Genomic DNA, 26,157 nt, shown 5'->3' on the forward strand with positions numbered 1-26,157 from the left:
TTGAGACAGGGTCTTGCTCTGTCACCCAGACAGGAACACAGTGGTGCAAATATCTCACTGCAGCTTTGACCTCCTGGGCTCAAGTGATCCTCCCACCTCAGCCTCCCAAGTAGCTAGGAATATAGGTGCACACCACCAAGCCCAGCTATTTTTTTTATATTTCATAGAGACAAGGTTTTGCCATGTTGCCCAGGCTGGTCTCCTGGGCTCAAGCAATCCTCTTGCCTTGGCTCCCAAAGGGCTGGGATTACAGGTATGAGCCACCATGCCCAGTCTCCTTTATGATTTAAATAGCTTCTTATGTTTAGAATGTCTTTCCATACATAAAATCAGATAAGCATTCAAACATATTTTTCTAATTTTTAATAGCCCAATTTAAAAAAAAAACACATGCCTGAAAAAGTATATGTAAATATATAACATACATACACATCTAAGTGTGTGTGCATGTTTGTACACATATATATATGTGTGCTTCTGTGTGTTTCTTCTGGCCCTGAAGTGTTAACAGAAACTATCTAGTGAATCACAAAATATGAGAAACAAGATTTCTAAGAAGATCATCAGTCCATTATCTAGATCTAAGGATGCTTATTTTATGAAAATAAATTTAATGATTACATATACCTTATTTCTTACATTTAATCTGACATTTAGACGTATTCCCAATGAATTGCACAAATATCCTAGCAACATTTCCAAAAGGTAATTTATTATTTACTAAATTACTATTTATATAAGGCTATTTCTCTGCTATTTGTTTTGTTCTACTGATTTGTCTTTAGACTATTCCTAAACCAGTAGCACCCAGTTTTAACAATTATTGATTAACAATATACTTTAGAACTAAACAAATCACCTACAATCTACAACTCTTCCCCATAAATTTCATACTTTTAATATGTAAAAGATATTTATCAAGGATGCTCATTAAAACAATGTTTAAAATAGTAAATATAAAAAATCTAATATCTTTTTATCTTTTTTTTTTTGAGGGGGGACAGTCTCACTGTGACGTCCAGGGTGGGGTGCAGTGGCATGATCTCGGCTCATTGCAACCTCTGCCTCCCGGGTTCAGGTGATTCTCCTGCCTCAGCCTCCCGAATAGCTGGGATTACAGGCACGTGCCACCAAGCCCGGCTAATTTTTATATTTTTAGTAGAGACGGGGTTTCACCATGTTGGTCAGGCTGGTCTTGAACTCCTGACCTCGTGATCCACCCACCTCGGCCTCCCAAAGTGCTGGGATTACAGGCATGAGCCACAGCGCCCAGCCAAAAACCTAGTATGTTATCCAGCAAGAAAGGAATGATTAAATACATTATGGTATTAATAGTGAGAAAAATATAAATCTTTTTTTAAGTTTGTCAGTTTCCAAAACAAATCCCATGTTTATTAAATTCATAATTTAATTTGTAAAATAGTCTATCATGTAGTTAATATATTATTTTTTATCATGGAAAATTTTGCTTTTCTTCATCTGGATCCTGGCCATTTCTCTCTCTATATATAGATATAGATATTTTTAAGGCTAGTCAAGTGAATCAGTGGGAATGGAGAAGGAACAAAGAACTCTGCAACTGGCTGTGATCAATTATTTGTATCATTTTTGTTACATTATGATTGAGTGAGTCTGTCCACTATATTTTGTAATCATATGTTAGTGGTAGAAAGATTCTGATTTTTACACCAGGCTACTTTAATCAATACTCTCATTAATTTCAATCACTTAACTCATTTTTTGGATCTTAACTGGTCAATTACATATGGAAAAAATTATTTTTTCCTCATTTCAAATTTGTATAATTCTTAGTTTTGTTCAGATCATAATGGACTAACTACAATTTACGTAAAATGTTAAATAATACAGAGATGACCAGTCCGCATTTTCTAACTCCTTAGTTGATTTTTTGTTAACATTCCCCCAAGAACTTACAAAAAATTCAAGGTGAAGAAAGGGCGAGATAACTTTACTATTGAAGTATAAGAAACACCTTCATAGGAACTTAATCCATAACTTGCTTTTAGGGACAAAAGATTAATCTCAACAGACTAACAGGCAACCTACAGTAAAATATATAGCATACAGATATAAATGGGTCAAATTACTTAAAAGACAAAATAAAATTACCCTTCTTTGGAATAAAGTTCTAATTGGAATGTTCAGATTCTCTTCTGCTAAAAGACTGTGAAACATCTTGTGTTCTTTAACATTCTACCAAAGTATGAAAATTTTAAAAGCCAAACCCTGAGTTTTGAAACTATTGTGATCCTACCATATAAGTAGTCTTATAGCTTTTTGAAAATACTTTAAAAAATCTTAAGATTACCTATGTGCAACAACTGTTCCTGTCCAGTAACATGCAGCATCTTGTAAATGTTTTCATTTAATAGGGGCAAAGAAAATCTGCCAACATTTTACTTGCTAGTAAGTAGTTTCTCAAAAATTTAACAACATAAAATATGCTCTATATGTTTAAAAGATTTAAAAACAAAGGATATAGAGAATATTTTTCTTGGATTAAAGTTTTTAAGTTTTATTTTAATTAAGAGCCATTACAGAAAATAGCACTATATACAAACATTTAAATAGTCCTTTGCCAGTTAACTGTGAAATAATGCAGCTCAAGTGTTATTTTGTATACTTGAATTTTATGAAATTCAGTTTTTCCTTATATTTACCTTTCAGAATTTGATGTTTCTGTTTCTCTTTCAGCCATGTTAGGTCTTGCAATTTCCTGAAATAATTAATAATACTTTTCTTTTACATTCACAGTTAATCTTAAAACTATTTTTATTATACTAAACTTTCTGGATAAAAGAAACAAGTGTGCAACTTAATATAACAAAGAAATAGAAAAATAATTTATTAAATATAAAATATAATTAGAATACTCCATAATTATATGCAGGTTTTGAAAATGTTTTTAAACCTATAAAAGTTTCAGTGTACCAAAAGTTTCTGATTCAAGGTAAAAAAGCAGTTACCCACTCATGTCAATATCTGCTTTTCGTAACCTCTATTTCAAATGTGGATCATAATTACAATTACTTAAATAGAAAACTAGTAAAACACAACTTGAATTTGAATAACAAGATGCATCCACAGTATTTTATATAAATATATTAGGCACAGGTATTTAGATAAAACATTTCTGAATTTATGATTTCATATTGAGTCATGGTAACCCTTCCACTGTCAAACCAAAAACATGAAACAGTACACAAAGTAAGAAACATTCTACTTATTTCAAATGTTTTACAGGGAAGCAAGAAAAGTGTAAAACCTCAGTAAGCCATAGGCCAACCTAACAGCTTGTAACAATTACCAGCTATGGAGTACATATGATGCATGAAGCAGTATATTAAGAACTTTACATGCACTATCTCATTTAATCTACATATTAGATTTTATAAACACTATTTCAATATATGAGAAATAAGACTTGAGTGGGAACCCAAGGCAATACCACAATAAGTAGTAAAGATTCAAATCTATATCTACCTCTTAACCACTATGGTAGATCGACTCAAGCCTGTAAAATTGATAATGGTGTATTAATCACACACACTTATCTACTCACCGTCTCAAAACTCTGCTAAAACAAGGGCAAAGAAATAAAATATTTTTACTCATAAAGATGAAGAAAACACCAAAGTATACTAATTGCTAAACAGATTTCACCAAATGTTTAGAAACAGGAAAGTCATTGGAAGAGTGGTTACTGATTTAGCAGTATGGAGGAAGTTACAATGAATGTCTGCAGTGGAGGAGTGCAAGGAAAAGAGATCAATTTGCCCAGAGAACCAAAAACACCTGGTATTTGCAGGTGGTCAGTCTACTATTTAGTACATAAAAAGTAAAAACAAAGCATTGCTGGGAAATCTAAATGCTCCTTCCCCGCAACTTACACAACAGGCACCTATCCCTTCCCTTACCAAAGAGGCTAAAACTTAACTTCCTTCCTTCCTATTTTTTTTTTTTTTTTTTGACAGAGTCTAGCTCTGTCACCTAGGATGGAGTGCAGTGGTATGATCTCAGCTCACTACAACCTCCACCTCTCAGGTTCAAGCGATTCTCCTGTCTCAGCCCCCTGAGTAGCTGGGATTACAGGTACCCACCACCATGCCCGACTAATTTTTGTATTTTTAGTACAGACGGGGTTTCACCATGTTAGCCAGGCTGGTCTCAGACTCCTGACCTCAGGTGATCCACCCACCTCGGCCTCCCAAAGTGCTGGGATTACAGGCATGTTCCACCATGCCCAACTAATTTTTTTTATTTTTAGTAGAGATGGGGTTTCACTATGTTTGTCAGCCTGGTTGTGAATTCCTGACCTCAAATGATCCACCCACCTCGGCCTCCCAAAGTGCTGGGATTACAGGAGTGAGCCACCGTGCCCAGCCTAAAAGTTAACTTTCTGAAGTGGAGATAGTCTAGACTTATGAACACCAGGAAAAGTAAAAGGCAGGCATGAGATACTGAGAAAACAAAGTTTTAGTAAAAGTCCACGTACTTAACAATCCTTCTCCCTGCCTGGCTTCCAGAATGCCAACAGCCAGAGAACTCACTCCCCAACCTAGCACTCTCAGCTAGAAGCTAGATTTCTCTCTGGAGAAAATGATCAACCCCAAAGAAAAAATTTTCCAGAATGAATTTTTTTTTTTTTTTTTTAAGAGACAAGATCTCACTCTGTCACCAAGGCTGGAACGTAGTGGCATGATCATAGCTCAACTGCAACCTCGAACTCCTAAGCTCAAGCAATCCTCTCACCTCAGTCTCCTGAGTAGCTAGGACTACACAGTATGTGCTCAACATGACTGGCTAGTTAAAAACATTTTTTTTTTTTGTAGAGACGAAGTCTCCAGTGTTGCCCAGGCTGGTCTCAAACTCCCAGCCTCAAGGGATCCTCCTGCATTAGCTTCCCAAAGTGTTGGGATTACAGGCATGAGCCACCACACCTGGCCTCTCCATAATGATGTTGAGACCATCCTCCTCAACAAAGAATCAGTCAGTTCAGCACCTAATTTTCCCACACTGAAGTCTACGCAATTTTCATGCAGATTGTGCACACAGTACAGTGCACAAATCCAGAGGGCAACACATTGTAATTCATATCATCCGTTTCCAAAGTATGACATATGGACACCTGGAGAATCCAAGCCACTTTCAGGAGGCATCTGAAGTCACAACTCTTGGCATAAAAACAGAAGTGTGTAAAAATGGTGGCAAATTAATATAAATCAAGGCAGTAGCAACCTGTACTAGTAGTCATTGTATTCTTCACCACCATACACATTGTATTCTTCACACCACACCGAGACAAGTTAAAAAAAAAAACTTTATTAAATCTCAATCTTTGAGCTCATATCTTTTTAATATTTTGTGTGACAAAATGCAAAGAAAGTATGCATAAGTCACAACCATTGCCTACTGAAAATATTTGGGTCTGTGATTGAGTTGTGAGTTGTACTTAACCACATTTTTTTCATAGAACAGGATCATTTTTATTTTAAAGAATGACTGTCAAACTATGAATATCTAGACTAGAGTTTCAGTAGACTTTTTCTTTTTGAAAAATTAACAAAGTGAGCCTGTCATATCAAGGAAAACAACTGACAGTATTCGTTTCCAGTAATAAAATCAAGCAAAAACTCCTACCCACCACTGATTAGATTAATGCTAATATTTACTGTGAGTGCTTGATATTATATAATGAAATATTTCAACATTTGGAAGATCCAGGGCACTTAAGGGGCCAATAAGTTCCAAATGACCAATGCATGATATTACAAAATTAGGCATGGATAAAAGATCCATTCAAAATATAAAACAGACAAACAGATTTTGATGTAACAAAGCAAAAAAAGTCAGTGATACGGAGCTAGATTCCACAGTGCAACAAGCAAGAAAACTTCCACTTTTGGTGCAGTATCAAAGGAGAATAATCACAATTATTGGAAAAGATTATTGAAGTACTGGGTGAGGCTGGGTATTCTTCATACATTTCAACCAAAAGAATGTATCACAACAGATTGGATTCAGAAACATGAGAATCCAATTTTTTTCTACTAAGCTTGACATTAAAGAAATATGCAAAAGTGTAAAATCAAGCCATTCTTTCTCACTAAATTTCTGTTGCTTTGGAAAATAGTTATTTTTCAGAAAAAAAATGTGATTTATGTTAACATATATTTATTATTTTTATTTTTGACAATAGTTTTAAAATATCATTATTTCAATTTCTAATATGGTAAACATTAGTAATTTTTGAGACTACAAAGGATATATTTAAATAGTATCCGCAGGAGTTCTGCAGTGTTCAACCTGAATGGCTATGCAAGACAGCCCTGTCTCCATTCAAACACATACGGTTTTCAATGATTATTTTAGCCTCATTCTTTAATTATGTATGGGCGGGTAAGGATCACCACATAACAAAAGACATACCTTAACATGAAAAATACCAAAAAAAACAAAAAGGAATAAAGAAAGGGGCTTGGAGACATCAGATACATTGCTGGGAACAAAAGAAAAAAGTATATATACAATATTTAATATCTCCAAAGAGGTATATGTTATTATATCCATTAAACAGTAACAAAAACTGTAAAAAAGAGAATTAAAGAACAAATAAAAAGTTACAGAGCTCTTCAAAATTACAAATATGGCAACTAAAATAAGTAATTAAGTTTAGAAAATTATTTAAAAAGATTGAAACAAAAAAACAAAAAGATGAAAGGCCAGAAAGAAAATAACATACAATTAAATGAGCTAAAAAAAAAAAAGGAGTTGATGCAGGAGGCTCAGTGTCAGAACAATGTCAGAACAATAGGAGTTTCTTAAAAAAAGGAGAACACAGAAAATAAAAGTGAGCATTTACCACAGAAATGAAACAAGAAAACTTCTCCCAAACAGAAATCTCCAAACTCCAAAGGTTTGTCAGATGCCTAATACAATGAATGAAAAAAGGATGGGTGAACATATCATGCGATTTCAAAACACCAGTGACAGAGATAATCACTAAAGTTTCCAAAAAGAAAAAAAGTAACCTAAATACCAAGAAACTGGAGCAAGACATGCATCAGACTTAATACAAATACTGGATATAAGAAGATAGTAAAAACAACATTTTAAAAACTGCATGGGAATTATTTTTATGTACTTCAGCCAAACTATCATTCGCATAAATATATTTTTAGATATGCAAAAACTGAAAAAAGATGCACACCTTCTCAGGAAGCTAGTAGAGGACACAATTCATCAAAATGATGAGTAAGCCAAGAAATGAGGAATAATTCATGGTTCAGCAAACAGGACATCCAATACAAGGGAGTGGCAAAGGATAATCTTGACATAACAAAACTAAGCACAGGCTTAGGGAGCAACTAGTTTAAGTTGAGGCGGGGAGTCTGGGAGGAGATCTTCAGACCCCTTCACTCCCCAGCGATTTTTTTTTTATGTGTGTGAACACTGGAAAAACTATTTCCAAATATTTGAGAGAGAAATTGCAACGTTAGAAAAAAATACAGCATTAGGTGCACAGAAAACTAAACAAACGAGTAAAAAAGATACATATTTTTAACTCCAGAAAAATAACATAAGGTACAGAAAAGGAAAAGAAATCATGGGGTACTTTCTGGCTCAGCATAACAGTCTCAAAAATTTTGATGTAACTATTCTGCAATCAGTGCTATACCAAGCCATATTGAAGCCTGAGGCAAAAGAAAAAATGAATGCCCCTATAAGTTTTGCTTTGTGTGTGGTGTGTTTTTGTTTTGTTTTTTGTTTTTAGCAACAGGGTCTCACTTTGTTTCCCAGGCTGGTCTCTAACTCCTAGACTTAAGCAATCCTCCCAGCTCTGTCTCCAAAGTGATGGGATTACAGGTGTGTGCCATTGTGCCCAGCCTGTTTCTGTGTATTTAAAAAATTTTTTTTCTAGAATGTTAGTCAGAAAAATATTGAAAAATTTAAAAGTAGGAGAATTAAACTCACATTAGCTTAAACTTAAAGATTTTATTTATGCCAAAAACAGTATTATTTTATTCTCCTGGCTAATGGAAGCAAATGCATCAACAGTACATTTTCAAATCTAATTCTTTTCTTATTTTGTTTTCAAATGAGCAAACTGTCATGTACAATTTCTCTTGAACAAGTGACAATCATAAAAAAATGTTATATTAACTTCAGTTTACAGTAAGCTTCATTTGCAGGATTCCACTGTGGCTGGAATTGTTTAAAATTTTTGAATACCATTTCCAAATCTGTTTAAGACTGCACTAAGCAAAATATGTTAAGAAGGTTTAGAAGACCCAAACACAAACTTGATTGTATGTTATTGATATCAAATGCTGCTTTAAACTATTTCATATAGAATTTCTATAGAATTTAAATCGTCAGAATATTTAAGTGCAAACTTAGTGGCTCGTCTTTGTAAATCAGATGTATTTATACAAAACAATTTTTCTCCAGTTTAGAAATTCAAAATCTGAAAACATTTCACTGAATTTTTTATATCTCTATACAAAATATGAAATTAGGGCATTTATAATCTTAATTTCTATTTAATAAGCACTGCCCTCATAATTATCAATACTCTTCACCCAGTGACTCATGCATTTCTCATTTGTTTACTTTTTTCATTTATTTTAAAATTTGAGAAGAATATGCATATCTCTTGCTCAAGTTTTATGTTCATCAAATACACTTTCAAAATTACCTTCAATTGTTGTAAGCAAAGGGATAGGCCTTTTATTAAGTGTGTAGCTTTATATTAGTCATGTTTACTGACTGTAAAGCTTTAGCTTCTTCCACTTGGCTCAAAATATCCATACAGATAATCTGCATAACACTTTGTAATCTATTCATACCAATATGCTTTCAATTTCAGCATAATGTATTTTGTCATTTGATATTATATCTTTTAATATTTGATAATCATCTTTAATTTGTGTGCAAAGTGTCTCAACTGCATTTATCTTGATGCCCATAATGTAACTATATGTGATTTTAATGTCGTTTTTAGACCAGACAAGAATATCCTGTTTGCTCACTGAATTCCCCTACCCCTAAACTATATATCCTTTGTACAATACTAAAAAAGTTGATCATATTTAAATTCACAGAATGCAGCATTTTCTTCTGTTAAATTATGATGAGTTAAACAAGGAACAAATTAGGCATAATTATTTTAGGGGCAAACAGTGGCTTGTATACCCCTGTATAAACCGGAAACATTTGCTCCATTATATCCCTGGCCAGAATTTTTAATGTAAATGCGATAAACAGAAATGAAGACTACATAAAGAAATGAAGAGTATAGGAAATGGTAAAAATAAAGGTAAATATAAAGCTAATTTTAAAGTTTTTAATTGCCCTAAAAAAACTGTCTAAAGTAAAAACTGTAATACTGCATTCTGTGTATTTACAACATGTTTAAAATTAAAATATATAATAAGAATAGAAAAAGCACACAAACTGTCAATATCATGAATGAGAGGGGATATCACTGCAGATTCCAAAGATTACAAAGACAATAAGGGATACTATAAGCAACTTTCTCAATATACATAAGATTCGAGTTCAACATATTAGGTAAAATGAACCCATTCCTCAAAAAAACTACAAACTACCAAAACTCCCTCAAGAAGAAATAGATTAAAAAATTTAAAAACCTGCATCTGTTAAAGAAATTTGTAGTTGAAAAACTTTTAAACAAAAGAAAACTTTCTATGGTACAAAAGAAAGCTGCTTGGAAGAAGGCTGATACTTCTGCCTGGATTTCACTTATATTATGCGCCATTCAAGACAAAGTATTCAAAAGATAAATGTCAAATCTACCTCACTTCATTACACTCAAAAAGAGGCAAACAATCATTAAGTAATATCAACATAAATTGACATCAAGAAAGCAAGTAGTTGAGCAAAACTATTTCTACAGTCATCTATTAGACTGTCCGGTAAATAACATTTATATGATAATTCTGAGTTCTGCATTCAGAGTACTTGTTTAAAACATATTTAAGATACATCCAAAATATTTCTATTTTAAAAATTAGTTTAACCTTTTGACAGTTAAAATATCCCAGAAAATTAAACCTGGAAAGATTAATTTTTCCAGTGTGCCAAATGATTGAGGTTTTACTGATTTGGGGATTTTTAATTCATAAATTTATCTCCATTACTCACTAGTTGAACTAAATAACAGGCAAGTGAAATATAAGATGTCTTTGTCAAAACAAGAATACCTTAAAATTTTACTTAGGGCTAGATATTTTTATATGTAATGAAAAATTTTAAATCTCGATTTTTTTTCTTCCTCACAACATCCCAAATATTGTTGATGTATGCATGCTGAAATTGAAAAAAAATTTTATATCATACCAATAATACTTTCAAATGTATAAACCTTTAAGGTATAAAGTAAAACAAACTTTACCTTAGACACAGGTTCTTGTTCCTTTGCGGGAGCTTCTTTTTTTAATCTTGAAAACAAGATAAGTATTGAATATTTTATTTTATATGTACGATGGTAAAATATGAAACAGTTCTTTCTCTGCCAGCCTAAAATAATTAAAATGTAGATCGAAACTAATGTACATTTTATACTTTAATAGTAAATTGACCTCTGTAAATGTTTTAAGGTAAAAGTTAAACGTATGAGACTAAATAGTAGATTCGATAAATGTGCTAAATCAATAAAGACATTTATTTCCTTGTTCTCTAAAAACAAGGACACTTAAGAAATGTTCTCTTTGCTAAGTACAATTTAAAATAAAAGACATACACATTAGTAAAACAGTTTCAAAACAAGAATTACTCTTTAAAAATTAAAAGCAGGTTATATGCTTACATAAGTAATATGCATCAGTATTTACGATTACAGGACTTAAGTGAAAAAAGATAAATATTTTATCTATTGTGAAATTCAACTAAATATAACAATATTATAGTTAACTTACTCTGGAGGCAGTAAAATCACAGAAGTAATTAGAATTTTGAGGAATATATTCTCTTTAAAACCTCCATAAGCACTGCTCAAATATTAAAACTTCTTGATTTCTAAAAATATTAATTATAACTTATTAAAACATTAACAAAGGTATATGCCATCCAGAAAATCTTGTAAAATAATCAATTTAATCTAAGAACTAGCTTATCCAAAGGATCTTTGTTTTAGAAGCTGCAGAAATGACTAAATATTATTTGTGATATTATACATTAAACTCAATTTTAATCTGTGTAAGTAGGGTACCTACCTGATCTGAAATGTCATTAATCAAGAGTTAAGTGATACATAATTTTATGAAGGCTTAATAGCTATACCTAAGGAATAACATATTTAACATAAGCAGCAACTATATTATCTTAAATTTCATTGACAAAAAAAAAGATATCTAATAGGATAGAAACGTCAACCATCCTAAAAGCTACTCTCATGGCTAATCAATGAAACAGAGTTGGCAAAACCCTCCTTCTTCATCCATCCTTTGAGGGCATATTTGAAAAATTAGGGCTATAAATGTTTATACTTTGTTAAACATTAATAATTAACTGTATGAAATTACTTATCTGTATTTTAGCTATTAGGCAAAACTGCTACTTAATATAGATTATGTCCTTTGTAAAACCACTATATTGGCAGTGCACTACAATAATTTACAACCAACTTGTTAAGCCAATTAAAATGAATAAAACTTGCAGAAAAAATTGACAAAAGACACAAATGTCAATCATTTTGGGGGTTAAAGATTTTGTAATTGTCTCAAGTATTTAATTGTGCACAATACTTATAAAGATGAGATCACATCAAGTATACAGTATAACTTCACTGCTTTAATGCAGTATAAAGGAAAATAAGTTTTAAGAATAAAATTAGTTATGAAGTACTAAGAAAACATGAAACATTAGTCTAAAAAAGCAAAAAGCATGAAAAAGCAAATTAATGAAGTTTTGAAATAAATGTGTATATTACAACTCATTTTTATTTCTAAGCATTTAGTCATTTTAAATTCAGTTTGAAAAACAAATTGGTCACAGAACAATTTAAATATTTCATGAAAGATTTTTCTCCCTCAACTTATCGTAGTAAATGTTATCAAAGTAAGACCTATTATATTCTTATAAAAGAAATATCACCATGCTAATCATTTTAGCATATGCCTATTATAATAAATTAATTGTATGCAGCTATTAAAATGAGCCCCGTTAAGTATGTTCATTATTGCTGGCATTTCAACAGAGGAAACACAGTCCTCTTGCTATCTCTGTGATGGAGGTTGGTGACAGAGGTTTTTATCACTCTTTATTGTACTGGCAAGAAACTGGTAGGTGAGAACAAAGTAAGTTATTGAAATAACTTGCATTAAGAGGCCTATGATTTCAATCTTGTTTTGTGCCTTTTACCATATTAGTACTCTCTTTAAGGAACAGAATCGTAATAACTAGTGAACACATTTAGAAAAATAAATCTTAAAAATATTTAGAAAAGCACACAATAAATTTTAAATTATAAAATGCATCACTAAAATGTACACTCAAACTTTGAACTACAAAAGTATACTTTAAGATTAATACTACTAACACATCATTAACACTTTTAGAAAAGAAAAATTTTCTTACCTATAATTCTTATTTACTAAAGATACCTGCTGAAATAGTCATTATTTTAGACATTCAATTACTTTGGTAGAAGACAGAAATTTGCTAAGCTCAAAGTTCTGAGCTAATGACCCACCATTAGGTAATTATACTTTCCACCTGTGAATGTTACAATACTTCTTAATAGAAAAATATAGTGTAGTATTTATAGCAAACACTATTTAAAATTTCAATGCAAAGAGAACAGGACTGACTGGTGATCAATTTCAACATCATTAGTGATCAAGATTGCAAGAAATAACTTTTCCCCTCTATGAAAATCTGCTGAAATAGATCTTTCTGATGTATTTCTACAGGACAAGCTTTTCCCTCTAAAGACTAAAATGACCCTATTTGCATTTTTCTGCAGGTCTTAGGAGCAATCCATACAAAATTTTTGTTTTGTTTTTGCAGACGGAGTTTCGTTCTTGTTGCCCAGGCTGGAGTGCAATGGCATGATCTCGGCTCACTGCAACCTCCACCTCCCAGGTTCAAGCGATTCTCCTGTCTCAGCCTCCCAAGTAGCTGGGATTACAGGCACATGCCACCATGCCTGGCTAATTTTTGTATTTTTAGTAGACACGGGGTTTCATCATATTGGTCAGGCTGGTCTCGAACTCCTGACCTCAGGTGATCCACCTGCCTCGGCCTTCCAAAGTGCTGGGATTACAGGTATGAGCCACCGTGCCCAGCCAATCCATACAAAATTTAACATTCTGGCTCACTTATAGTAGTATGTTCCTTTGAGGTTTCATTCACACTATAAACATACCATGGGGTGAGGGGAAGAACTATAAGGGGAAAAATATTCAGATTCATTTCAGCTAGGCCACATTCTTTCTTTCTGATGACATTTAAAAGCCAAAATTTTCAATGCTGATGTTAGAAATGTAATCTTTAAGAATATTTGTAAGCATACTAAAAAAGTTGAAAAGAGGCTGTAAAGCAACCAGTAGTAAAGTCAGCCAGTAATCATGACCTTCAACTTAGCCCAGGCGTGGTGCCACATGCCTGTAATCCCAATGCTTTGGGAGGCCAAAATGGGAGGATAGCTTGAGACCAGGAGTTTGAGACCAGCCTGGGCAACATAGTGAGACCTCATCTCTACAAAAAAATTTTTAAAAAATTAGCCAGACATGGTTGTACATACCTGAGTCCCAGCTCAGTCTCAGGAGGCTGAGGCAGGAGAATTGCTTGAGCCCAGGACTTTGAGGCTGCAGTGAGCCATGACTGCACACTGCAATCCAGCCCTCTGGCTTGAGCAAAACAGCAAGACCCTGTCTCAAAAAAACAAACAAAAAACAGCAAAATAAAATAAAAAGACCATTCACTGAGACATTCAGGGACTAAATTTAATATAGTAATCATCAGACTAAGACATAACAGTAAAACATCTACTCTACCATTTCTGATCATTTGTTCTGAGAATTATCAATATATTTATATGTGGAAAGGATGCCTGAGCAAAACATTTACCAGGTTGTACATATTTCAGGGATTGTACTAAGTGTTCCAGTCCAAAGTTAAAAAAGACTGTCTCTCCTCTCAAGGAGTTCACTGTGAAGAAAACACAATGAAGCAAATGTTTACATTATGAAAAGGTTTAGAAAAGACATCTTTGTTCAGAGACCTAAGCCACTATGAAAGGGAAAGAGGCAAGGAAGCAATGAAGATACTACAGTGAACTTGGTTTTGCAAAAAGAGCAAGAATTAGCAAAGCAGAGTAAGGAGATCCAAGGCAGAGAAAAAGCAAAGAAGTATGAAACAGAGAAAGTATGAAAAAGCAAAGAAGTATGAAACAAGATGACAATATGAGAATTGGTGGTCTCATATCACTGAAATGTCAGGCACAAAGCAAAGTAGTCCAAGATGAAACTGAAAACATACAAGAGCCTCTTCAGGGAAGGTCTTGATTGCCATGCTAAAGTGTTCATGCTAAGAACTTTAATGCTAATAGGAAAGTATGACCAAATTTGTGCATCAGAAAGACAAAGGTCTGTATTGGTAGAAGACAAGCTGAGAGTCCAGTTAAGAGACAGTTAATGACTTTCTCAATTAAAACAGTAACAGTGTCAATGGAGAAAAGGTTGGTTTAGGGAGATGAGAACAAGTTAAAACCAAAAGAATGTAAGTATACACTGGATAAAGGTAAATGTGGAGAACAAATATGACCCCCTCAAATGCCTGCCCTGGCTGGTAAGAGATTATTCATGATATGGAATTCGAAGAAGGGAGAAAGCATTCTTTGAGGGAAAAATAAATTCAGTTTTGGACATATTGGATTTGTGGTGCTTACAGAACATTCATATGGAAATATTTACCACTCAGACCTGCCTCTTGTGTATCTCATCCTTATACACAATTCCAACCACAACTTCTATTTATTTATTTATTTTTTAAACAAGGTCTCACTCTGTTGCCCAAGCTGGAGTGCAGTGGTATGATCACGGCTCACTGTAACCTCCACATCCCAGGCTCCAGTGATCCTCTCATCACCATCTCCTGAGTAACTGGGATTACAGTCACACCACAACACTTGGCTAATTTTTATACTTTTTTGTAGAGATGGGGTTTCACCATGTTGCGCAGGCTGGTCTCGAACTCTTGAGCCCAAGTGACCCACCTGTCTTGGCCTCCCAAAGTGCTGGGGTTACAGGTGTGAGCTACCACACCTGGCCACCAACCATCACTTCTCTTCATATAACTTCAAAATCAACATCCAGAGAATGACTCCTCCATTTTTAATACACTTTGTTATTTTTCAAACAGTTGACAATTCAGTTCAGAAACATCACAGTGTATTAGACTTGGGTCCTAAGAGATTATATTATTCAACTACCCCCATCTTGCAGATGAGAAAATCTGAGGCCTAAAAATGCTAAAGTTATAAAGCCATTAAGCAATAGAAGGAGGATTAAATGTGTGGGTTCTACTTCAAATTTCCACTGCACTGCCTCAAGCCAATTCCTCTCCTGTGAACCAGGCTCCCTTATGATCATGCCAGGGAAACTGAAAACCTTAACTGATCTCTCTGCCTCTATATGTTTTCCACTCTAAAACATGCTGAGTATCACTGCTAAATTAATCCTACTAAAAGACCAGTTTATACCATTCTTTGCTCAAATGTTATATTGCCCAAACATCATTAGGGCAGTATTTCTATGAAGTTTGAGCAATAGAACATAGGATTGGGACAGTAAACTGGTATGCTAGATTACTGTCCCAATCGTATGATTGTGTCAGTTGCTGCCTACCCTTCTGCAGAAAGAGGGCCTTAACACTGAAGCTTAGTCCTATCCAGTTTCTTGGCCAATCACAAACAAGGCAGGATGTACACCTGGAACTACAAGCAGAAGCAGAGAAGCAATAGAGGATACTACTGAGTAGTTTAGTCTCTGAAGACAGACTGACAGAATTTAAATTGAGGCTCTCCACTTAACAGGTATGTGCGACCTTGGGCAAATTATTTAACATATCTGTATCTCAGTTGTCTCATCCATAAAATCAGACAGTAACAGCTCATATCTCACAAATATGTGAGAATTAAATGAGTAAATAAATGCAAAACACTTAGAAAAGTGTCTGCCACACTGTATGTGCTCAGTAAATGTTAGTTATTATTGTCATGGGTATGGGTAGAGTATAGAATCAATCTTCTTGCTCAGAATCTGCTTGAGAGTATACAACAAATTTAGTATACCATGTTTCCACCTCACCCTCAACCCAACAGACATTAATTTTGATTGCTGGTCTATTCTCCTTAGGACCAGTTCTATTTTTTCTAGTATGAAATGATCTGCTAATCTTAGAACACCAGGGTATGATTTGGCCATCTAAAGCTATTATAACAAAGAGCAGAATAATCATTTTAGATAGACAGAAGAAAGAACTAGGTAAAGACAGAGAGACAAGAAATAAAAAAGACCAAAATATTCATGTGTAAAAACGTGAAGAAAAAAAATAAGACCATCAATGTAGGCAGAAGATTTTAATGACAGTCTAGGACTCTATTTTATTATTTTGGTTTGTTGGTAATATTGAATTATACCCTGGATATTTAATTTATAATCTATAAGCAACAACCCTCAGGAACCAGAGACTGAAAAAAATGGTAGTAACCTCAGAATCACTGGTAGAGATTGGTACAGTTTGTCCTAAATGAAAGACTACACTAAAGTTTCATTTATTTTTCCATCTCACTGGGTCTCAAATTCTCCCTGCTTACCAGATATCAAAGGCAGAAGTCCAAATTGCCAGAAACCACTTGCAATTACATACCAGGAGCAAATATATTAAGTCTATTTTGAAAAGGAAGAACTATTTTACAGTTCCTAAAGATCGGTTTGAGATATTAATGTCTATGGTAGGATGAGAGAATCTAGGGGCTAAAATCCCGGTCACATTTCAAAAGTTTAAAGAAGGAAACAAGCCCAAAATGAACTCAATAGATCAGTTTGTTTTTTTTTTTTAATCTTGCTAAATTAATGAAATGAAGTCTCCCAACAATTTTGAACACATAAGAGCTACAGAGTTATAATTTAGGATTATGACCAGAGCCAATAATTCCTCCAAGTAAGTTCAAAATTTCACAGGAAAATAATGGAATGAACCCTTATATATCTTCAATGGTCACAGGTTCAATGACAGTAAGTATCTCTTAACAGAAATAATATTTTAAAATATAAGATTTATAGAAAAAGGCTGCCATTCTGTTCCTAAGAGTTTACTTACTGCTTACATTTATGAAAGATAATTAATGACTTACTGGTTTGAGAATAGCAGAATAAAGTGCTATTTCACCTTGAGAATAGGTCCAGATTCTCTTCTGATACAGCATTTCACAAAAAAAATCCCATAATGCAATATATACATGATATTAGTGGTTTAATTGATTATGAAATCAGTTGACTATAGTCCCTGTAAAAAATGTGGATTCAGTGTCTACATTTCTAATTCCCTTATTCTGTAATTGCTTTGGTGCTATAAACCATGTTTTATTCATGTTTCCAACACCTGACACAGAATCTTGCACACATAAAAAGTAGGGTGTCAATGTTCAGTGACAAAGAATATATGGGAAGGTTGTCTATATCATACTGTGAATGAGCCATGTAGTTACTACTGGTGCTAAGTATAAAGCTCATTAAATTAGGGGGATTTAATAAAGTATAATACACACATTAACATCTGTAAAACACATTTTACATATTTCTAACATCTTCAAAACAAAGATATTTTCAACTCGATTTCACAGAAAAAGAAACTGAAGTAACTGTACCTTAAATAAAGTTAGTGAGGCAGCTGGGTCCTTTAACTCTAATATTTTGACTGTCAATGTCTTTCCCATTGTACTTTGCTTAGAACAAACATGGATGTCACTCAGAGAACTAAATCAACTTTTAAAATCTCTTGAAATTGTGGCTTTTAGGATATTTGATTCAACAATAAAATAGGCAACCAGTTAAGTAGCCTAGTTTAGCAAACTTGAGTTATTATGTATTTACCACAGATTCTTACACTCTCAAGATCTGTTAGAGGAAATTATCATTCTATTCTCAACTTTTTGTCAAGAAAAAGAAACTTACAAAACTCAAACCTTTACTTCTATTTTGTTATAATTCATCCATCCAGGTAGATATACAAGAAAACAGAGGAGGGGAGAAATGGAGGTAAGGGAGAAACAGAAAAGAACAATTTCATGACTGAGTTTGACTTTGCCTGTTTCATGTCTTCACTCAAATGTCATCTCTCAGTGAGGCCTCACTAAATTAAAAATGGCAGCCTTCCAACACCTACCCCATACTCCTTTATCACCCTTCTCTGATTCATATTTCTCCATAGTATTGATCATCATCTAACATATTATATGTTTTATTTACTTTTATTGTCTTTCACAAATATAATGTAAGTTCCATAAGAGCAGAGATTAGTCTATATTTCTAGAAACTAGGACAATGCCAGGCACAAAGTAGATGCTCAATAAATATTCGCTGAATAAATACATGATGCCCAAAGAGGCAAAGTGTTTTGCCAAAATGTGACAAAAACAGGGCAAGAATCTGAGCCTCTGTAGTTTAATAATTATTTTTCTAAGAATGATGATGGACTCAAACTGAACCAATCACATATTTTATTCAACAGTAACCAAAAAGCACATATGCATGAAATGGCTATCTGACCAGATGAATAAACTAGAATAAAATGATGGTAAGGAGGGATTAGACTCAAACTAAAACTCATTAGCACTAAACTGAAAATTCAACTAATTGCTTACAATAAGCAAACTTTGTACTGACTGCCAAGTGTTTTATTTGAACCTTTTTTTAAAAATGAATTTACTGGGAAAGAACTTTAAGAATTCATACTTTAAGAAAATGAATTTGATACATACTATAAAAAAAAAGTCTATGTAAGACCACAAAGCAGTACAGTCATTCCCTGGTATTGGTAGGGGATTGGTTACAGAACCTGCCCCCACCCCACAGGTCGCCCCTACCTCCCCAAACCTCCACCAGGAATAACAAAATCCTCAGATGCTCAGATCACTTATACAATGTAAATGCTATGTAAATAGTTGTTATATTGTATTGTTTTTTATTTGTATTTTTTATTGTTATATTGTTATTTGTTATTGTTTTTCCCCCCAAATATTTTCAATCCATGGTTGGCTGAATCTGCAGACACAAAACCCAAGGATATGAAGGATTGACTGTACTCCTACATTACTATATTAACAATGTGGTTTATCCTGCTTTTGACCTATGACCAAGGTAAGGTGAATATCTGTAAATGAACTAATGTTAAAAATGGAAAAAGTTATTGTTTCTGGATAAACTTTTAAAAACTGGGTAGAGAGAGGAGATAACAAAAATTCCTAGAGACAAATAAGAAAAAAAAAAAAACAACTAGTATATCACTAAGTCCACTACTAAGAAACAAACTACTTGCGGAGATTTTGGAAAACCTTTCACTTAAAATATAAATTAGTTTGGAAATTCAGAACTATTAGATTCAACTCTTTTGATAATTAATTGCAAGAAACACGTCATATAATAGGTGGTCATCTAAACCGGCTTTAACTGGTCATCTAAACCGGCCTGCCTATCCTTATGGCTATTAAGATCACAAAAGGCATTTTGCTAGTCTTTAAAATTTAAGAAATTAGTATAGTAACCTTTTCATTGTGCTGCAAGAAAAAAATGCAAGGTATACTAACTAGATATAGCACTGTCTGCAGCCAAGTAACAAGGCTTCCATATAACAATGAGAGCAATGTTCCTATTTATAAGATAAAATCTACACCCTTTATTCATTAGCAAATAATTCCTGAGGCACTTAAACAATATAATTTTTATTAAAAGGATAATAGTATAAAAAGTTTAGATCTATATTCAATGTAACTAAAATAAACACATGACAAATTTAAAATATATAAAGGAAAGAAATACATGCATTACTGGTCACCATATGTATGTTTTTTAACATGTTACCTTTACCCAAAGGAGCTACATTAATGGCTAAGTAGACATTACATCTTAGACGCACAAATACGTAACTTTAAAACTGGCTCTTAAGGTCTGCAAGTAGTATTGCCAATTCTTTACACCTAAGAACTCACAATTAAGGTAATATTAATAATAATCCCAATAGGACAGAGTATCTAATAATGTTTAATGGGCTTAGTAACAGCCAAATTTAAAATCTACAAATAGGCAGCTACACAAAATCTGTAGAGAATTCTAAGAAATCTCTTGGAGTTCTTAAAACAAACACTAAACAAATTTTAAATAATATAATATAAAAATAGACATCATAAAATAGACATTAATAAATTTTGAGAACATAAAACCAAGCTATTAAATTAATTTTTAAAAAATCAAAATGCAAGAATCGGTATTGTTAAAAAATTACAGAATTAATACTGGTTAATAGATTTTATATGTCAGTAAAAATAACTGCAATTTTGGAACTTAATTGTGGAGACCTGTTGTTCCAAGGATATGAAAGTAGCCATGGTTTCCTAACAACTAGAGTTTTTATATTCCTTGGACTGCATTCATGCTAGAGAAAGATTTAAAGGCAGCAGCCAAAATGACTAAACTTCAACTTGGATGCTGAAGCAGTGGTTTGATGGGCTTTTCTTGGTCATAACTGACTCATAAGCTTAAGATCATAAGCCAAAGCCCCCAGTGGGAAGTATGCTCAATTTGGTGGGCCTTAAAGCCATCTCTGGCCAAACAACATCAGCCTTATGGGAGGCCAGCCATGTAGAAAGGGAGTCTCCCCAAGATCTGATTTCTTGAGGCCACAACCTAAGAGCAGGTCCCACAGTCAAATTATTCACATTCCTTGGAAAGAGAGAACAGGCATCAGTTGTGTCCATCGAAGGGGGACACTGTCCAGGTATACCCTGGATATTTTTTGAAATCTCTGGGCTGCTTCTGCATCTGAAAAATAAGAAAAATAGCACAATGACAGACAACGAATGAGAAAAAGACAATTATCTGGCCTAAAACTTAAGACGTATAAGAAATTAAGAAAGCAGACAAACAGACAAAAGACAAACAGCCATATAATTTGGAATCTATTATTCTGAAGGCAAGTACAGCAGAGAAAAACAAAAATTATTGTAAGCAAAGAAAAGACCATAGCAACAAATGTTATTTTTAGACAGCGCAAACTGGAGAAAAAAAAATATGTTAAGATATGTCAACCTGACACAAAGATAAGGTGGAATAAGAATCTAGTCCCATTTGAAAGCTGAAAAGAGCTGAATAATGAGAGCTAGTGTCATGAACTTGGCTGCTCAACTGCCTTTGTGTAAGAAAACATCTCAGAACTTTGAACTTAGGAAATTCCAACTTGTCTTGCACCAGGTCACGAGCTCCATAGAGCAGGAACCTATTTCAACAAGCAGCTTTAAAAAAAAAACAAAAAAACAACAACATACTTTAATACTTTTCATTCGTATTAATGATACATTTAAAAATGCAATAGTGCTAAAATCCATCAAAGTAAAATGCACTGAATAAAAATTAAACTTACTCAGAAAGGTGCTCAGAAGTTGGGATACAAACAGAAACTGAAATTAGAAGAAAAGTTTTACATTTACAACAGCATATGAAATATGATGAGTGAGAATAATGATTTAGTAAAGAGACCATATTGTGGATGACCAAAAATACTGGAATAAAAGTCAAAAATCTAAAGTAGCACAGTTACATATACGTACCTTTCTGCATTACAACTTGGCAAGTATGAGTTTTATGTTGACTTAAGTGTGTAGCCATATTATCTAAGCCAGAAACATCACTTAGGAAATCACAATTAAGGCACACTAGAGTAATGCCCCTAAAAAAAAAAGCATTAAAAAAAGATTTTTATCTTTTATGAAAATCCACTTATAAGTTTGATGATTATTTTTCCATAATTTGCTTTTTGTGCCATACATAACTATAACTTCCCATTTTTGTTATATAAATTTGACATAAACTGACATTATTCTCTGGTAAATGACATAGCCATGTCCAAATTATGCTACCATTTATTTACAGAAAGTATTTATTTTACACTTTTACCTGTCATACCAATTGTTAAAAGTTAGGAGTCAGAAGACCTAGAGTCAGTCTTGGCTCCACAACCAACTTGTGTAACTTAGGCAAGTCACATTCTATTTGTCCTCCCACGCATCTGCAAAGTGAACATAGCGTATTCATTCACTTGATATTTACTGGAGCTATTTTTATATATACTGTACTACTAGGTATTGTGAATATAATGGTGAACAAGAAATAGTACTGTCTATGCTCGAATGGAGCTTACTTAGAATCTGGTGTTTTATTCAGTTGGAGATAAAATCAGAAGAAAAATGGGAAGGCTTTAAAAACAGATCACGTTTTAGCCACCATCGATTGTACATTATGTGTCAAGAGTTTTCCCATTTATTATTTCATCTGATTCTCACTACAACCATCAAGGTTGGTATTATTCTTACTTAACACTGAACTAGCTAAAGTAGTTAATAAAATACTAAAATCTGCAAACTTGAGTTCCTCATCATCTCAGCACTGTGAACTAGGGAGTCTCACTCTGTCACCCAGGCGGGAGTGCAGTGGCGTGATCTCAGCTCACTGCAACCTCCACCTCCTGGGTTCAAGCGATTCTCCTGCCTCAGGCCCCTGAGTAGCTGGGACTACAGGCTCATGCTACCACACCTGGCTAATTTTTGTATTTTTACTAGAGACGGGGTTTCACCATGTTGGTCAGGCTGGTCTCGAACTCCTGACCTTGTGATCAGCCCCACCTCGGCCTCCCAGTGCTGGGATTACAGGCGTGAGCCACTGCGCCCGGCCTGAGTGCTGTAGTTCTTAAATGAAATGTGTAATTATTATAAATGTTTAAAGAGGTTAGGAAACAATTCCCTAGTTATCAATACTTTATTTTTGAGTACAGGAAGAGTTTTTGTCCTCACTGGATCTAACTGTTTAGCATTTGCTATTTGAAGTATTTGAATACACTTGACATAAAGTACATTAAGATTCTAACTTAAAATGCATTTAGACTTGTGTGATTTTTAGCTGAAAGGTGTTTTAAAATATTAAGCCTGTAAAAATACTAAAATGCTTCAGATAACTTAGCCACTATATATTTAATTTCTTATAAGAGTTAAGCACTTGGGAGTTGGTTACACCAAGCATTTGAAGTGCTATTTAAAAGAAAATCAATTATATTAAATGTACAAATGATGTTAAGTTGCCTAAAGTAATTTGAATTGTAAACAGAACTCTTGAAAAAAATTTAGTCTATTGAACTAGAATGCCCCGTGCCTCTTCTACCAGTAGAAACAATACCCATCCTTTAAAGCCAAGTAGGCCTAATACCTATCCAGATCACTACAAGAACTGTAATATTTTTCCTCTCTGAAATAAGTCTCATTGCACTTATTAAAACGCATAGTTATTTATGTTCACACCTTAACTCCCACCCAATAAACTGTACTGTACATTCCCTGAAGGCTGGTTCCAACACTGCTTCATCACTGTCATCTTTACAGGACCTGCTACTTTATGTGCAAGACAGATACGTAATAAATAGTTACGGAATGAATAGTCTATTTCAATAAGAATAATTACATTAATCATTGTCATATAGAATTATAACTATGCTAAGCTCTATTCACAGAAATTGAACAATTTTCAATTTGAGACTAGCCAGGTTTAGTGAAAAAACATCCCAGATCTTTAAAACCACATAGTTCATTGAGAAACTAAACACACAACTGAGCTTGACCACAATGAGGTAAAAATTGAATTAAACTCTCATTCTTAGAATGCAATAAAACCATATTCACTCTTGTAACTGTTTTTAGTAAAGGTAACATCTAATGTAGCTTAATTATTTCCCTAGATTCAGTAAATATTTTAAAAGTAGTACTAACATTTTAAAAATTGAATGATATTTTCTCTCCCTGTGAGCTACTAGTCTAACATCACAGATGGGACCTATTTTCCACGTACATCATTTTCAATATATACATTAATTTATTCAACAAATATTTACTGAGTGCCTACTATGTGCCAGGCACAGACAAAAAAACCAAACCACACACAATATAGTGAGAGAACATAGGCAATAAGCAAGTAAAATAAAAGTATGTTAGATGATCTAGAGAAAAGTAAAACATAAACAGGAGATAGGGAATGCTGGGATAAAGCAAAGGGAAGAGGATACAGTTTTAAATTTTGTAGTCAAGGAAAGACTCACTCAATCAAAGTAGAGGCCTAAAGGAGACAAAAGAGCTAACCATACAATATCTGGGGGAAAGCAAACTAGGCATAGGAAATAATAAATGCAAAGGTCTTGAGACATACCATCCCCTCTTCTACATTTTCCACTAATCAAAAGCATCAAAATAAGTATTCGCTAAACTTATCTCTACAGATCAGCTTGGTGGAACAAAGACACTGACATTTCAAGGAGCAATGGCAACATAAAATAAACAAAGAAAGTTCAAGAAATCAGAAGAATATGAAACAATAGCGCTCAGTGGATTCTAAGTGTGTGGTATAACCAAAGATAACTATCAATGCCTTTAGAAAATTTTATCAACAGTTCTTTCAGTATAGTAAAATTGTATAATTCTCTTTATTTTCAAAAGAAAATATTAGAATTATAAAAATCATATACTGATTTCAAGAATTCCAGTGGTTAAAGGAAATTTACTTCAAAACTAAAAAAGTGTTCATTCCTTTAAGAGATAGCTTAGCTATCTTTTTAATATTCAAATATTGTTGGCGAGCCTTATTTTTGTTCTCATTTTACAATGCAAACGCATCAAGGTTTCCTCTGGACACCACCTTTCCACTGAAATAAATTCAGCAAGAGAACAATGGCTAATCATACTTCTGGTCTAAGAATACAATGAACACAACTCTCTAATGTCCAGTAGCAATCATTTATATTTTCAAATTAGGTACCCTAATATCAGGTTTAAAAAAAGTTATAGCAAACCACAATGAGATACCACTTTATACCCATTAGGGTGACTATAATCAAAAAGAGATAATAAAAAGTGTTGGCAAATATGTGGAGAAATTGGAACCCTCAAACACTGCTGGTGGGAATGTAAAATAGTGGAGCTACTTTGGAAAACAGTCTGGTGCTTCCTCAAACGCTCAGCATGGAGTTATCAAACAGACCAGCAATTCCAATCATAAGTATATACTAAAGAGAAATAAAAATACATGTCCATACAAAAACATGCACACACATGTTCACAGTAGTATTATTCATAAGGGCCTCAAAATGAAAACAATCTAAATAAATAAACTATGATGTACCTTTACAATGGGTTTTGCAGCAATTTTTAACAATGAAATATTGATACATGCTACAACATAGATGAATTTTGAAAACATTATGCTAAATGAAAGAAGCCACAGAGGACCACATCATGTATCATTTTTTATATGAAATGTCCAGAATGGGCAAATATTACACAGACAGAAAGTAGACTAGTTGTTGTTCAGGGATGGGAAGAGCTGGAGAGAAATGGGAATGACCACTAATGGGTACAGGGTTTCTTTCTGGAGTGATAAAAATGTACCAAAACTAACTGGTGATTGCTGCACAACTCTGTGAATATCCTAAAACCTATAAACACATAAATTGTATGGTATGCTAATTCTACCTCAATAAAGCTGTTGTGTTAAAAAAAATTTAAGTCATTACAATTTTTCAATAGAAAGAGTAAAAAAAGATCAACTAGTTACCGGAGATTTTCTGAATGCTTCTTAAAAATACAAAACCTTTTGCTTGGACGGTTACTATGAAAGCTGGAGAAACAAAAGAGATAGTAAAAATTTTATTATACAATAAGTCACATTAATTTATAACTATATTTCAAGTCCATACTTAAGTTTCTAGTTTGTAATAAAAGATTATAATGTAAATAATAAAATAATGCCTGTCACTTCCATTTAATTCAATATTTTATCTGATATTCCATTTTACCTATTA

General features: G+C 33.4%; 1 protein-coding gene across 3 annotated transcripts in view; it reads right to left on the reverse strand.

Moving 5' to 3' along the window:
• ZNF280D (zinc finger protein 280D) overlaps positions 1 to 26,157 on the reverse strand; it is a 103,334-nt gene that overhangs the window by 2,338 nt on the left and 74,839 nt on the right. For all 3 annotated transcript variants that reach the window (NM_001002843.3, NM_001288588.2, NM_017661.4), the window contains 5 exons: positions 25,911 to 25,973; positions 21,872 to 21,990; positions 21,685 to 21,721; positions 10,439 to 10,484; positions 2,682 to 2,737 (listed from right to left, as the gene is read on the reverse strand). In NM_001002843.3, coding sequence (NP_001002843.1) covers positions 2,682 to 2,737; positions 10,439 to 10,484; positions 21,685 to 21,721; positions 21,872 to 21,990; positions 25,911 to 25,973 — 321 coding nt within the window. The remainder of the gene's footprint in view (positions 1 to 2,681; positions 2,738 to 10,438; positions 10,485 to 21,684; positions 21,722 to 21,871; positions 21,991 to 25,910; positions 25,974 to 26,157) is intronic.

The sequence above is a fragment of the Homo sapiens genome, chromosome 15, assembly GCF_000001405.40.
Source record: "Homo sapiens chromosome 15, GRCh38.p14 Primary Assembly".
Lineage (NCBI taxonomy): Eukaryota > Metazoa > Chordata > Mammalia > Primates > Hominidae > Homo > Homo sapiens.